This window comes from Homo sapiens, chromosome 12 (genome assembly GCF_000001405.40).
Source record: "Homo sapiens chromosome 12, GRCh38.p14 Primary Assembly".
Taxonomy (NCBI): domain Eukaryota; kingdom Metazoa; phylum Chordata; class Mammalia; order Primates; family Hominidae; genus Homo; species Homo sapiens.
This window is the reverse complement of record NC_000012.12, coordinates 133,187,845-133,200,734: the sequence shown is the minus strand read 5'-3', so window position 1 is coordinate 133,200,734 and position 12,890 is coordinate 133,187,845. Positions and strand designations below refer to the sequence as shown.

Here is a 12,890-nt window from a genome sequence, read left to right as displayed (position 1 = left end):
CAGGGTAGGCAAACAGCTTTGTGAACACAAAAACAAAAAGGGAAAGATAGAAAATAGATAGGAAATAAGACTAAGGATCAAGTCCTTTGTCACAACAGGAAATATCTGGAGGTTGAGTAGAAAATAGATAGATGCCCCAAAACAACATACTAACCAGGGTAATGAAAGAAAAGGATATTAAAAGAAAGCAGAGCTAATAGACATCTACAGAACTCTCCACCCCAAATCAACAAAATATACATTCTTTTCAGCACCACATCACACCTATTCCAAAATTGACCACATATTTGGAAGTAAAGCTCTCCTCAGCAAATGTAAAAGAACAGAAATTATAACAAACTATCTCTAAGACGACAGTGCAATCAAACTAGAACTCAGGATTAAGAAACTCACTCAAAACCGCTCAACTACATGGAAACTGAACAACCTGCTCCTGAATGACTATGGGGTACATAACGAAATGAAGGCAGAAATAAAGATGTTCTTTGAAACCAATGAGAACAAAGACACAACATACCAGAATCTCTGGGACACATTCAAAGCAGTGTGTAGAGGGAAATTTATAGCACTAAATGCCCACAAGGGAAAGCAGGAAAGATCCAAAATTGACACCTTAACATCACAATTAAAAGAACTAGAAAAGCAAGAGCAAACACATTCAAAAGCTAGAAGAAGGCAAGAAATAACTAAAATCAGAGGAGAACTGAAGGAAATAGAGACACAAAAACCCTTCAAAAAAATTAATGAATCCAGGAGCTGGTTTTTTGAAAGGATCAACAAAATTGATAGACCGCTAGCAAGACTAATAAAAAGAGAAGAATAAAATAGACGCAATAAAAAATGATAAAGGGGATTTCACCACCGATCCCACAGAAATACAAACTACCATCAGAGAATGCTACAAACACCTCTATGCAAATAAACTAGAAAATCTAAAGAAATGGATAAATTCCCTGACACATACACCCTCCCAAGACTAAACCAGGAAGAAGTTGACTCTCTGAATAGACCAATAACAGGCTCTGAAATTGTGGCAATAATCAATAGCTTACCAACCAAAAAGAGTCCAGGACCAGATGGATTCACAGCCAAATTCTACCAGAGGTACAAGGAGGAACTGGTACTATTCCTTCTGAAACTATTCCAATCAATAGAAAAAGAGGGAATCCTCCCTAACTCATTTTCTGAGGCCAGCATCATCCTGATACCAAAGCCGGGCAGAGACACAACCAAAAAAGAGAATTTTAGACCAATATCCTTGATGAACATTGATGCAAAAATCCTCAATAAAATACTGGCAAACCGAATCCAGCAGCACATCAAAAAGCTTATCCACCATGATCAAGTGGGCTTCATCCCTGGGATGCAAGGCTGGTTCAATATATGCAAATCAATACATGTAATCCAGCATATAAACAAAACCAAAGACAAAAACCACATGATTATCTCAATAGATGCAGAGAAGGCCTCTGACAAAATTCAACAACCCTTCATGCTAAAAACTCTCAATAAATTAGGTATTGATGAGACGTGTCTCAAAATAATAAGAGCTATCTATGACAAACCCACAGCCAATATCATACTGAATGGGCAAAAACTAGAAGCATTCCCTTTGAAAACTGGCACAAGACAGGGATGCTCTCTCTCACCACTCCTATTCAACACAGTGTTGGAAGTTCTGGCCAGGGCAATTAGGCAGGAGAAGGAAATAAAGGGTATTCAATTAGGAAAAGAGGAAGTCAAATTGTCCCTGTTTGCAGACGACATGATTGTATATCTAGAAAACCCCACTGTCTCAGCCCAAAATCTCCTTAAGCTGATAAGCAACTTCAGCAAAGTCTCAGGATACAAAATCAATGTACAAAAATCACAAGCATTCTTATACACCAATAACAGACAAACAGAGAGCCAAATCATGAGTGAACTCCCATTCACAATTGCTTCAAAGAGAATAAAATACCTAGGAATCCAACTTACAAGGGATGTGAAGGACCTCTTCAAGGAGAAGTACAAACCACTGCTCAATGAAATAAAAGAAGATACAAACAAATGGAAGAACATTCCATGCTCATGGGTAGGAAGAATCTATATCGTGAAAATGGCCATACTGCCCAAGGTAATTTATAGATTTAATGCCATCCCCATCAAGCTACCAATGACTTTCTTCATAGAATTGAAAAAAACTACTTTAAAGTTCATATGGAACCAAAAAAGAGCCCGCATCGCCAAGTCAATCCTAAGCCAAAAGAACAAAGCTGGAGGCATCACACTACCTGACTTCAAACTATACTACAAGGCTACAGTAACCAAAAAAGCATGGTACTGGTACCAAAACAGAGATATAGATCAATGGAACAGAACAGAGCCCTCAGAAATAATGCCGCATATCTACAACTATCTGATCTTTGACAAACCTGACAAAAACAAGCAATAGGGAAAGGATTCCCTATTTAATAAATGGTGCTGGGAAAACTGGCTAGCCATATGTAGAAAGCTGAAACTGGATCCCTTCCTTACACCTTATACAAAAATCAATTCAAGATGGATTAAAGACTTAAACGTTAGACCTAAAACCATAAAAACCCTAGAAGAAAACCCAGGCATTACCATTCAGGACATAGGCATGGGCAAGGACTTCATGTCTAGAACAGCAAAAGCAATGGCAACAAAAGCCAAAATTGACAAATGGGATCTAATTAAACTAAAGAGCTTCTGCACAGCAAAAGAAACTACCATCAGAGTGAACAGGCAACCTACAGAATGGGAGAAAATTTTCACAACCTGCTCATCTGACAAAGGGCTAATATCCAGAATCTACAATGAACTCAAACAAATTTACAAGAAAAAAACAACCCCATCAAAAAGTGGGCAAAGGATATGAACAGACACTTCTCAAAAGAAGACATTTATGCAGCCAAAAAACACATGAAAAAATGCTCATCATCACTGGCCATCAGAGAAATGCAAATCAAAACCACAATGAGATACCATCTCACACCAGTTAGGATGGCAATCATTAAAAAGTCAGGAAACAACAGGTGCTGGAGAGGACGTGGAGAAACAGGAACACCTTTACACTGTTGGTGGGACTGTAAACTAGTTCAACCATTGTGGAAGTCAGTGTGGCAATTCCTCAGGGATCTAGAACTAGAAATACCATTTGACCCAACCATCCCATTACTGGGTATATACCCAAAGGACTATAAATCATGCTGCTATAAAGACACATGCACACGTATGTTTATTGCAGCACTATTCACAATAGCAAAGACTTGGAACCAACCCAAATGTCCATCAATGATAGACTGGATTAAGAAAATGTGGCACATATACACCATGGAATACTATGCAGCCATAAAAAATGATGAGTTCATGTCCTTTGTAGGGACATGGATGAAATTGGAAATCATCATTCTCAGTAAACTATCGCAAGAACAAAAAACCAAACACCGCATATTCTCACTCATAGGTGGGAATTGAACAATGAGAACACATGGACACAGGAAGGGGAACATCACACTTTGGGGATTGTTGTGGGGTGGGGGGAGGGGGGAGGGATAGCATTGGGAGATATACCTAATGCTAGATGACGAATTAGTGGGTGCAGCACACTAGCATGGCACATGTACACATATGTAACTAACCTGGACATTGTGCACATGTACTCTAAAACTTAAAGTATAATAATATTTAAAAAAAAAAAAAAGAAAGGATCTAGAGAATAGAAAATCTGGAAAATAAAATTTATTAAAGGTATTAATATTAAAAAAAAAAGAAAGCAGAGCAGATCAGGGGATCTTAACATCTCACTCCAAGTTTACTGTGAAAAACTGCAGGTAGTTTTCCTATTAAATCTGATCCCTCTTATTCATTTTGTATACAACCATCAAATTCTATCTCCCCAAACATCAATTCCCCACTGGGGCATTATCTTCCGTTAATGCACTAACAAATAAATATGAGCACTTTCGGTTTTCACAATGGTTTGAGAAGGAGTGATATTATTAAATGGTCCTATAGTAAAAACTGTCCCCAACAAAATGAAAATAGGCCAGTGAATAATTACTCTGTGCCCTAGAATCAGATTTGCTCCTGTGTTTGACTGTCACTATTTTTTTGGTAGACTTTCATAGTTCATGGATACTGAAGCCATCCTAACTATCAAACCCTGTACTTTATCCTTCCATTCCTTCTGGTGCTGGTAACACACCCATCCTTATCTTTGCTCGGTTCCTGTATCTCTGCTTTCGTCATTGGAAATCTAATGTGTCTTCTCTACAGCATGCTCTTTGTAACAATAATGGCAAAAACAGGATTATACTTGACACCTCAAGGTAGAGTTCAAAGAATTCAAAAAATCAGGGAATACCAAACCCAGTAACTAAAAGACAGGCTTTTTTTTTTTTTTTTTTTTTAGATGGAGTCTCACTCTGTCGCCAGGCTGGAGTGCAGTGGTGTGATCTCGGCTCACTACAATCTTCGCCCCCTAGGTTCAAGCAATTCTCCTGCCTCAGCCTCCCGAGTAGCTGGGATTACAGGCATGCATCACCACGCCCAGCTAATTTTTGTATTTTTAGTAGAGATGGGGTTTCACCATGTTGGCCAGGATAGTCTTGATCTCTTGACCTCGTGATCCACCTGCCTCAGCCTCCCAAAGTGCTGGGATTACAGGCATGAGCCACCACACCTGGCCTTTTTTTTTTTTTTTTTTAAAGAGACAGGGTTGGCCGGGCATAGTGGTTCATGCCTGTAATCCCAGCACCTTGGGAGGCTGAGGCGGGATCACCTGAGGTCAGGAGTTCGAGACCAGCCTGATCAACATGGTGAAACCCTGTCTAAAAATACAAAAATTAGCCAGGTGTGGTAGCGCGTACCTGTAATCCCAGCTACTTGGAAGGGGGAGGCAGGAGAATCGCTTGAACCTGGGAGGTGGAGGTTGCAGTGAGTCGAGATCGCACCACTGCACTCCAGCCTAGGCAACAGAGCGAGACTCTGTCTCAAAAAAAAACAAAAACAAAAACAAAAAAAGAGACAGGATCCCTCTCTGTCACCCAGATTCAAGTGCAGTGGTGCAATCATTGCTCACTGCATCTTCAACCTCCCAGACTCAACTGATCTTCCAACCTCAGCATCCCAAGTAGCTGGGACTACTGGCAACAGTCATCATGACCACCTAATTTTTAAAAATTTTTGGTAAAGCTGGGGTCTCACTATGTTGCCCAAGCTGGTCTTAAGCTCCTGGCCTCAAGTGATCCTCCCACCTTGGCCTCCCAAACTGCTGGGATCACAGACATGTGCCACTGCACCTGGCACATGGTTCCTGTAAAAAATTTAGCCTGTTGAACATGATCAGGCATTCTTAAGCTTGAAGATTATTTAAACATGATTCGAGACCATATTAAATATGGTTCCTGGCTGTGGTCCAAAGGCAATCACTGGGAACCCAAATATACACCAAGAGAATTGAGATTCTGAAGCTACAGAAAAGCCATTTCCCCAACGACCATCTCGAGTTTAATCACAGATGATGACGGAAAAGGAAATTATGCTTGGAGAGCAGAAACAAAGGTTCACCAGGTAACTTATTTCACTGCCACAGAAAGAAATTGTGACAAGGCCAACAGTGTAAACCAGTGGCTACCATGTGGTGTTCACTGCTGCTGCCCTCCTGGAACTGGGGGACCCTAGACTTGTCTCTATCCCTCTACATTTGGATGGCTGGATGTGTTTAATTTATCTTTAATTATAGGTCTATAGACCATAAAGAACTACTCCCCACTCTGAATGGGAACAGGATCCTAGACTTGTATTAATGTAGTACAAGAACCAACATATGGGTTGCAGCAAATATCTGAAGATGGATGGCTGGGAAGAAGGGTGTGACAGGTGCTGCCTGGCCAAGGAAGGTGAAGGCAGACAGTGCTGCTTACCCAGTGGTTCTTCTGCCCTGTTCCTGGCTGGCAGTAACCTGATTTTTTTCCACCCCCATCTAGGTGATGTGCTTCAGTCAGGGAAGTGAAGACCCATTTCTATCCCCAGTCCCGCTTCCAAAAGGTAAAGCATAATTTATCTGAGCCAACGGAGATAGCCCCATTTCCCTTTCCAGAGCCTCCCTCAGACAGGGGCATGTGACAAAAATTTAGCCTGTTGAACATGATCAGTCTGCTTGGGACTTCCTGGGATGAGTTTTCCTGTCTGACAGACTCGTGTGTGAAGAAACAGCCCTTTTTATTTCATTGGCCACTGGTATATCCACAGGCATCAACTAGAACTGCAAGAGCCATCTGAGGGCCATTAAAGAAGGTAACCTAAGGAAAATGTCAACATACCTAGATGGGCCCTTGGCGATTGAGTGAGTCAATCACTTAGTTGATCCTGGAGCTGCCCCACTTCAGGACCTTTTGTGATGTGTAATAATAAATCACTTCTGCTTAAATTAGTTGGTCTGGGATTGACCAACAACTGCAGCTGAAACAATCCTAGTAATGCAAGGACTAACTGTTGATTTATGCTGTCATGCTAGTGATAGAATAAATGGGGTATTCAGGGAAATATATCTGACAGTAACATCGAAGATGAATTAATATAAAAAGAGTACAATGAATAAATTTAGCTAAATACAACAATCCAGACATGACAATACTGGCCTCGTTTTGAGTGGGAATTGAGACGATGAGGGTTTTAAAAGACCTCTTTTTAAAGGAACAAAATGCTAACAACACTGTACCAAAATTAGTAAGGGAGCCCTGCACAGAAAGGAAATTCAAGCTGACTTCCCCAGTGTTAGGAAAAAAAACTTAGAATTTAAAAAACAGGATAAACAAAGAGAAGAAAGATGAAAAGAAGGTGGTATGTAGGTGGAGCAGTGGGAGAGACGATTCCAGTTTCTGAAAACGAGGCCAGGGAGTGGTATGAGGGAGATGCCAGTGAATCAATCAAAACCAGGACCAAAGGGCAGATAAAAGATCAGTATGGCTATCAATTACCAGTAGAGGAAAAGAGCTTCAATCTTCCGAATGGAAGTTATTAAGGTTTGAATGTGTCCCCTCTAAAACTCATGTTGAAACTTACTCCCCATTGTGGTGGTATTAAGAGAAGATTAAGTTGTGCCCTCATGAATGGATTAGTCGTTTCTAAAAGGGCTTGAGGGAATGATCTTAGGCCTTTTTTGCCCCTCTTTCTGTCCCACAGTGTTCCTCACCTCCAGAGGATGCAGCAACAAGGCGTCATCTTGGAAGCACAGAGCAGGCCCTCACCAGACACCAAACCTGCCAGCACCTTGGCTTTGGACTTTCCAGCCTTCAAAACTGTGAGAAATAAATTTCTGTGCTTTATAAAATTACCTAGTCTATAGTATTTTATTACAGCAACACAAATAGACTGAGACAGAAGTCTTCTTTTTTTGAGATGAGATCTCACTATCACCCAGGCCAGAGTCTAGTGGCACAACCATAGTTCACTGCAGCATCAAATTCATGGGCTCAAGCAATCCTCCCACCTCAGCCTCCCAAGGAGCTGGGACAACAGGTGCACACCACCATGCTCAGCTAATGCGTAAGTCTTTTAAAAGTTACACTATATGAGGGAAATGAAGAATAAAGACCCCTTGGATTCAGAAGAGCAAGAGAAGCCCAGTGGAACATGAAGGGAAAAAGTGCTCGGTCATGCAGCAGAAGAGCAGGATCAACAGGTGTCACTGCAGGATCATGGACACTATCACATGACAAAGGAATGTGCTCAGAAGGTATAGAGTGATAATGTTAAAGCCATTAGCAAGGCCAGGCATGGTGCCTGACACCTGTAATCCTAGCACTTTGGGAGGCCGAGGTGGGCGGATCACAAAGTCAGGAGATCGAGACCATCCTGTCTAATGTGGTGAAACCCTGTATCTACAAAAAATACAAGAAATTAGCCGGGCGTGGTGGCAGGTGCCTGTAGTCCCAGCTACTTGGAAGGCTGAAGCAGGAGACCCGGGAGGCAGAGCTTGCAGTGAGCCGAGATTGCACCCCTGCACTCCAGCCTGGGCGACAGAATGAGACTCCGTCTCAAAAAAAAAAATCCATTAGCATAGAGAAGCACAAAAGGGGTAGAATCTACTAACAGGTTTCAAAAAGAAGGAAGATGGGACTGTGGTTGTTGAATTTATGTGTAAGGGATTTAAATGTAATTTTCAAAATGTAGAAAGGAAAGGGAAGGATCATGAGAGTCACATCAAGTGAAGGAAAGAGGAAAGGCTTGCTAAAATGCACAATGAAATGAGTCTATCACCAAGATAGAGTAAGGAGGGAAATAAGGGTGCCAACGAGAAGATTAAGAGTGGATGGTAAGGCCGGGCACGCTGGCTCACGCCTGTAATCCCAGCACTTTAGGAGACTAAGGCAGGCGGATCACCTGAGGTCAGGAGTTCGAGACTAGACTGGCCAACACGGCAAAACCCCATCTCTACTAAAAATACAAAAATTGGCCGGGCATGGTGGCGCACAACTGTAACCCCAGCTACTCAGGAGGCTGACACGGAAGAATTGCTTGAACCCAGGAGGCAGAGGATGCAGCGAGCCGAGATCACGCCACTGCACCCCAGCCTGGGCAACAAAGTGAAACTCTGTCTCAAAAAAAAAAAAAAAAAAGTGCATGGTAATACACGAGGCAAAGTACAAACAAGAGGAGCACATCACATTGGAATTCATGCTAATTCTAAATAAAGAAGAAAAGATTTGTCTCCATCACTCACTTGGACAGGTCTGATTTGGAACTTGGGCCTGCACCATACACAGCTCTTCTCCTTGTTCCAACTTGAAGATGATATCAGGTTTGGTGTGTTGGTACCCTATAAATAGAAAAATCACAGACAACCTGGAACAAACAGCTTGAGATTCAGAGATTCTGAAGAACGGGAAAGATTTGGTTTGGAGGTAGCATGATGAAGCTGCCTTTTTGCAATTTGGCAAAGTAAAGACCATTCAACTGGCATACTCTGCTGCCAATAGGGAACTAAGAAAATCTGGCCTTAAAATCTAAGTCCAAAATCACTAAGTATTTCATAGAAGCCCTCCAGTTTTCAGCAACCAAGAAGAAGCCTGGAGATCGAGCACACTCCTCCTCAGGGAGGCAGCACTTACCTAGGGACACCAGGTTGCTATAGTTCTCCAACATCACACTCCTGTACAGGCACTTCTGTGCTGGGTCTAGCAGCTGCCACTCCTCCCAGGTAAAATCCACAAACACATCCATGAATGACAAAGGTCCCTGAAATACAATATGCTCATCCAATTTCAAGTTATTTTACTAGGTTTGTGGAAAACTAGCTGTTTAGGGTGTCCATTATTTATGTTTAACTTTGTGAGAACAAAAATTGTATTGAAAACATCCATCAATGTGCATTAAATCAGTCATCTTTCTTTCTTTTTTTTTTTTTGTTGAGACAGAGTCTCACTCTGCTGCCCAGGATGGAGTGCAGTGGTGTGATCTTGGCTCACTGCAAGGTATACCTCCTGGGTTCACGCCATTCTCCTGCCTCAGCCTCCCGAGTAGCTGGGACTACAGGCACCCACCACCAAGTCCGGCTGATTTTTTTGTATTTTTAGTAGAGACGGGGTTTCACTGTGTTAGCCAGGATGGTCTCGATCTCCTGACTTTGTGATCTGCCCATCTCGGCCTCCCAAAGTGCTAGGATTACAGGCGTGAGCCACCGCGCCCGGCCTCTTTACAGTTTTAAGCTATCCTAGAAACCACCTATACAAGAGTGCTCAGATATGGGACCTTCAGTACTAAAGGCAGGACAGTCAGGCAAACAAGTTCGACTGATCACTCCTACATCTGCAATACAGTTACCAACCTCTATGTCCAGGAATATAAACATAAATGAAATACAGTCCTGCCACCAAGAAGCTTTTAGCACTGCAGAATGAAGAACAGTTACATATGCAAATGCAACTGAAAGTCAAAGAAGCTAAGAAAAAAGAACACAGATTACAACGTAGGCACAAAGGAAGAAGGAAGCAATGCTATTTGACAGTGTCAGGTGAAATCTGTGAAAGGGCACTATTGGTACCCAGAAGAGAAGACACATTAAAACTTTATGGACTAAAAAGGTAACTGCTGTAAGTAGCAGCCACTCTGTGGGATAAAGACCTAAACATGAAAATATACAGATGGTAAATGAGCATACAAAGCATGCTCAATACCATATGTCATTAGGGAATTGCAAATCCAGACAAAAGTAAGACACCACTACACACCTATTAGAATGGATAAAATCCAAAAAACTGACCACCAAATGCTGGAGAGGATGTGGAGCAATAGGAACTCTTATTCATTGCTGGTGGGAATGAAAAGTGGTAGAGTCACTTTGGAAGCCAGTTTGGCAACTTCTTACAAATCTAAACAGTCTTACCATATAATCCAGCAACTATGCCCCAGGTATTTATACAAATGAAAACTTACGTCAAAGCAAAAATAGAAGACACACATGACAAGCATCAGATATGAAAAGAAGTTATCATTACTGAATTCACAGACAAGAAAAGACTAACTGCTCTGCGCACATAAATTTGGTTAAGTTAGTTGAAAAGGACATATTCCTTGGAAGACGCAAATTACCAAACTTACTCAAAAACAGATAAACTTGGGCCAGGCGCCATGGCTCACGCCTGTAACCCTAGCACTTTGGGAGGCCGAGGCGGGCAGATCACAAAGTCAGGAGAACGAGACCATCCTGGCTAACATGGTGAAACTTCGTCTCTACTAAAAATACAAAAAAATTAGCCGGGCATGGTGGCACATGCCTGTAGTCCTAGCTGCTCAGGAGGCTGAGGCAGGAGACTCACTTGAACCCAGGAAGCAGAGGTTACAGTGAGCCGAGGTCGTGCCACTGTGCTCCAGCCTAGGCGACAGAGCGAGACTCCGTCTCAAAAAAACAAACAAACAGATAAGCTTAATTATTACATATCTATTAAAGAAATAAAATTTGTAGTTAACAGCATACAGATTGGAAAGAAACAAAACTGTCCTTTTTTACAGAGAGAGTAAGGAAACTGAGGATGCCAACGAAAAGATGAAGATGACACGACTGTTTATGAAGAAAATACCAAAAAACCTAAGAAAGTTCCTAGAACTAACTAGTGAATGTAGCAAGGTCACAGGATACATGGTCAATACATAAAAGTTGGCTATATGCCTATATAACAGCAATAAATCATTTGATTTTGAAATTAAGAAACTAGCTGGATGCCGTGGCTCACACCTGTATTCCCAGCATTTTAGGAGGCCGAGGCAGGTGAATCACTTGAGGTCAGGAGTTTGAAACCAGCCTGGCCAACATGGTGAAACCCTGTCTCTACTACAAATACAAAAATTAGCCGGGTATGGTAGTGCGCACCTGTAGTCCCAGCTACTCGGGAGGCTGAGGTAGGAGAACTGCTTGAACCCAGGAGGCAGAGGCTGCAGTGAGCCCAGATTGTGCCACTGCACTCCAGCCTGAGTGACAGAGCAAGACTCCATCTCAAAAAAAAAAAAAAAAAAGGAATTAAGACACTGATACTGTTTACAACAGCAACAACAAAACAGAAAGAACTTACATATAAATCTAAAATATCTGTGTAGGATCTGTATGCTCAAAACTATAAACATTGACTTTTAAAAATCAAAGATCTAAATAATGGGGGAATCCTGTGTTCATGGATTTGAACTCAATCCCAAAGGCACTGTAAATCGAAAAGTGAAAGGTAAAGTAATAAAGTAATAAAGAAAAAGATCTTTATGAGCTTAGGATAAGAAAACAATAGGACACAAAAATCATTAGCAATAAAATAAAAAAATTTGCAATCCAGACTCAGTAAAAGTTAGAAATATCTGTTCATCAAAAGTAAGCATTAAGAGACTAAAAAAGCAAGCCAATATTGGAAGTAAAAGAAGCACCCGAGGAAAAAATTTGAATATAGGCTTCATAGTAAGTTTGTTTTAAACTTTAATGTGCATGAATCACTGAATCTTATTAAAATGAAGAGTCTGATATTAACAGCATTGAGGTGAACTCTGATATTCTGCATTTCTAACAAGCTTCCCGAACAATACATATTACGTAAACACACATTTTTTAAAAAAAAGGATACACATAAAACACAAAATAACTTTTTGGGGATGGGAAAGGAGATGAAAATTGAGTATGAGGAAATAAGAGAATATATAAATAAAGGTAGATAAGGACCTTACATGAACCAATGATGATAAAAGGGCCATGGGCCAGGCACAGTGGCTCATGACTGTCATCCCAGCACCTCAGGAGGCTGAGGCAGGAGGACTGCTTGAGCTTAGGAGTTGATGACCAGCCTGAGCCACACAGGGAGACCTCCTCTCTACTAAAAATAAAAAACATCAGCCAGGCATGGTGGCACTTGCCTGCTGTCCCAGCTACTCAAGAGGCTGAGGCTGGAGGATCACTTGAGCCTGGAGTTTGAGGCTGCAGTGAGTTATGATTGCACCACTGCGCTCCACTCTGGGCAACAGACCAAGACCCTGTCTCAAAAAAAAAAGTGGGGGGGTTTTGAACTGAACTGAGGAGTGATTAACTTAACCCTCTGACCTAAGGATCTCCATCCCTCTCTGCACCAAAAAAAAAAAAGGTAATAAAGAAAACACTAGGAATAAACAAATGAGAAGCTCACCCAGGACTTGGTGATTTTTGGCTGCTCTTGGGAAATAAACAGCCACTCTAGGACTTTCTCTATTCTGCGACTCTTCTGCTTCTGCCTGGGTGTTCCAGGGAGAGGTTGCAGACCAGGAGTCCCTTGGCCCAAGATGGATTCCTGACCTTGGAGCTTTCTGATCCTATCCCATGAACTGTTTCGTTCTTGGAGAGGTGGGACCTGTGGACTCAAGAGCAAATTTACTTT

At 41.6% G+C, this 12,890-nt stretch overlaps 1 protein-coding gene across 9 annotated transcripts in view; it reads right to left on the bottom strand.

The window, feature by feature from the left end:
- The window catches only part of ZNF268 (zinc finger protein 268), a 33,338-nt gene that overhangs the window by 14,098 nt on the left and 6,350 nt on the right, over positions 1–12,890 (bottom strand). For 2 of the 9 annotated variants that reach the window (NM_003415.3, NM_001165881.3), the window contains exons 3-5: positions 12,663–12,863; positions 9,120–9,246; positions 8,732–8,827 (exon numbers count right to left, since the gene is read on the bottom strand). The exons of 1 other annotated variant lie outside the window; for it this stretch is intronic. In NM_003415.3, the coding sequence (NP_003406.1) occupies positions 8,732–8,827; positions 9,120–9,246; positions 12,663–12,863 (424 nt within the window). Of the gene's footprint in view, positions 1–7,201; positions 7,308–8,731; positions 8,828–9,119; positions 9,247–12,662; positions 12,871–12,890 lie in introns of all 9 variants that reach the window. 6 more of the 9 variants (NM_152943.3, NM_001165887.2, NM_001165882.3 and 3 more) reach the window with 6 other exon arrangements.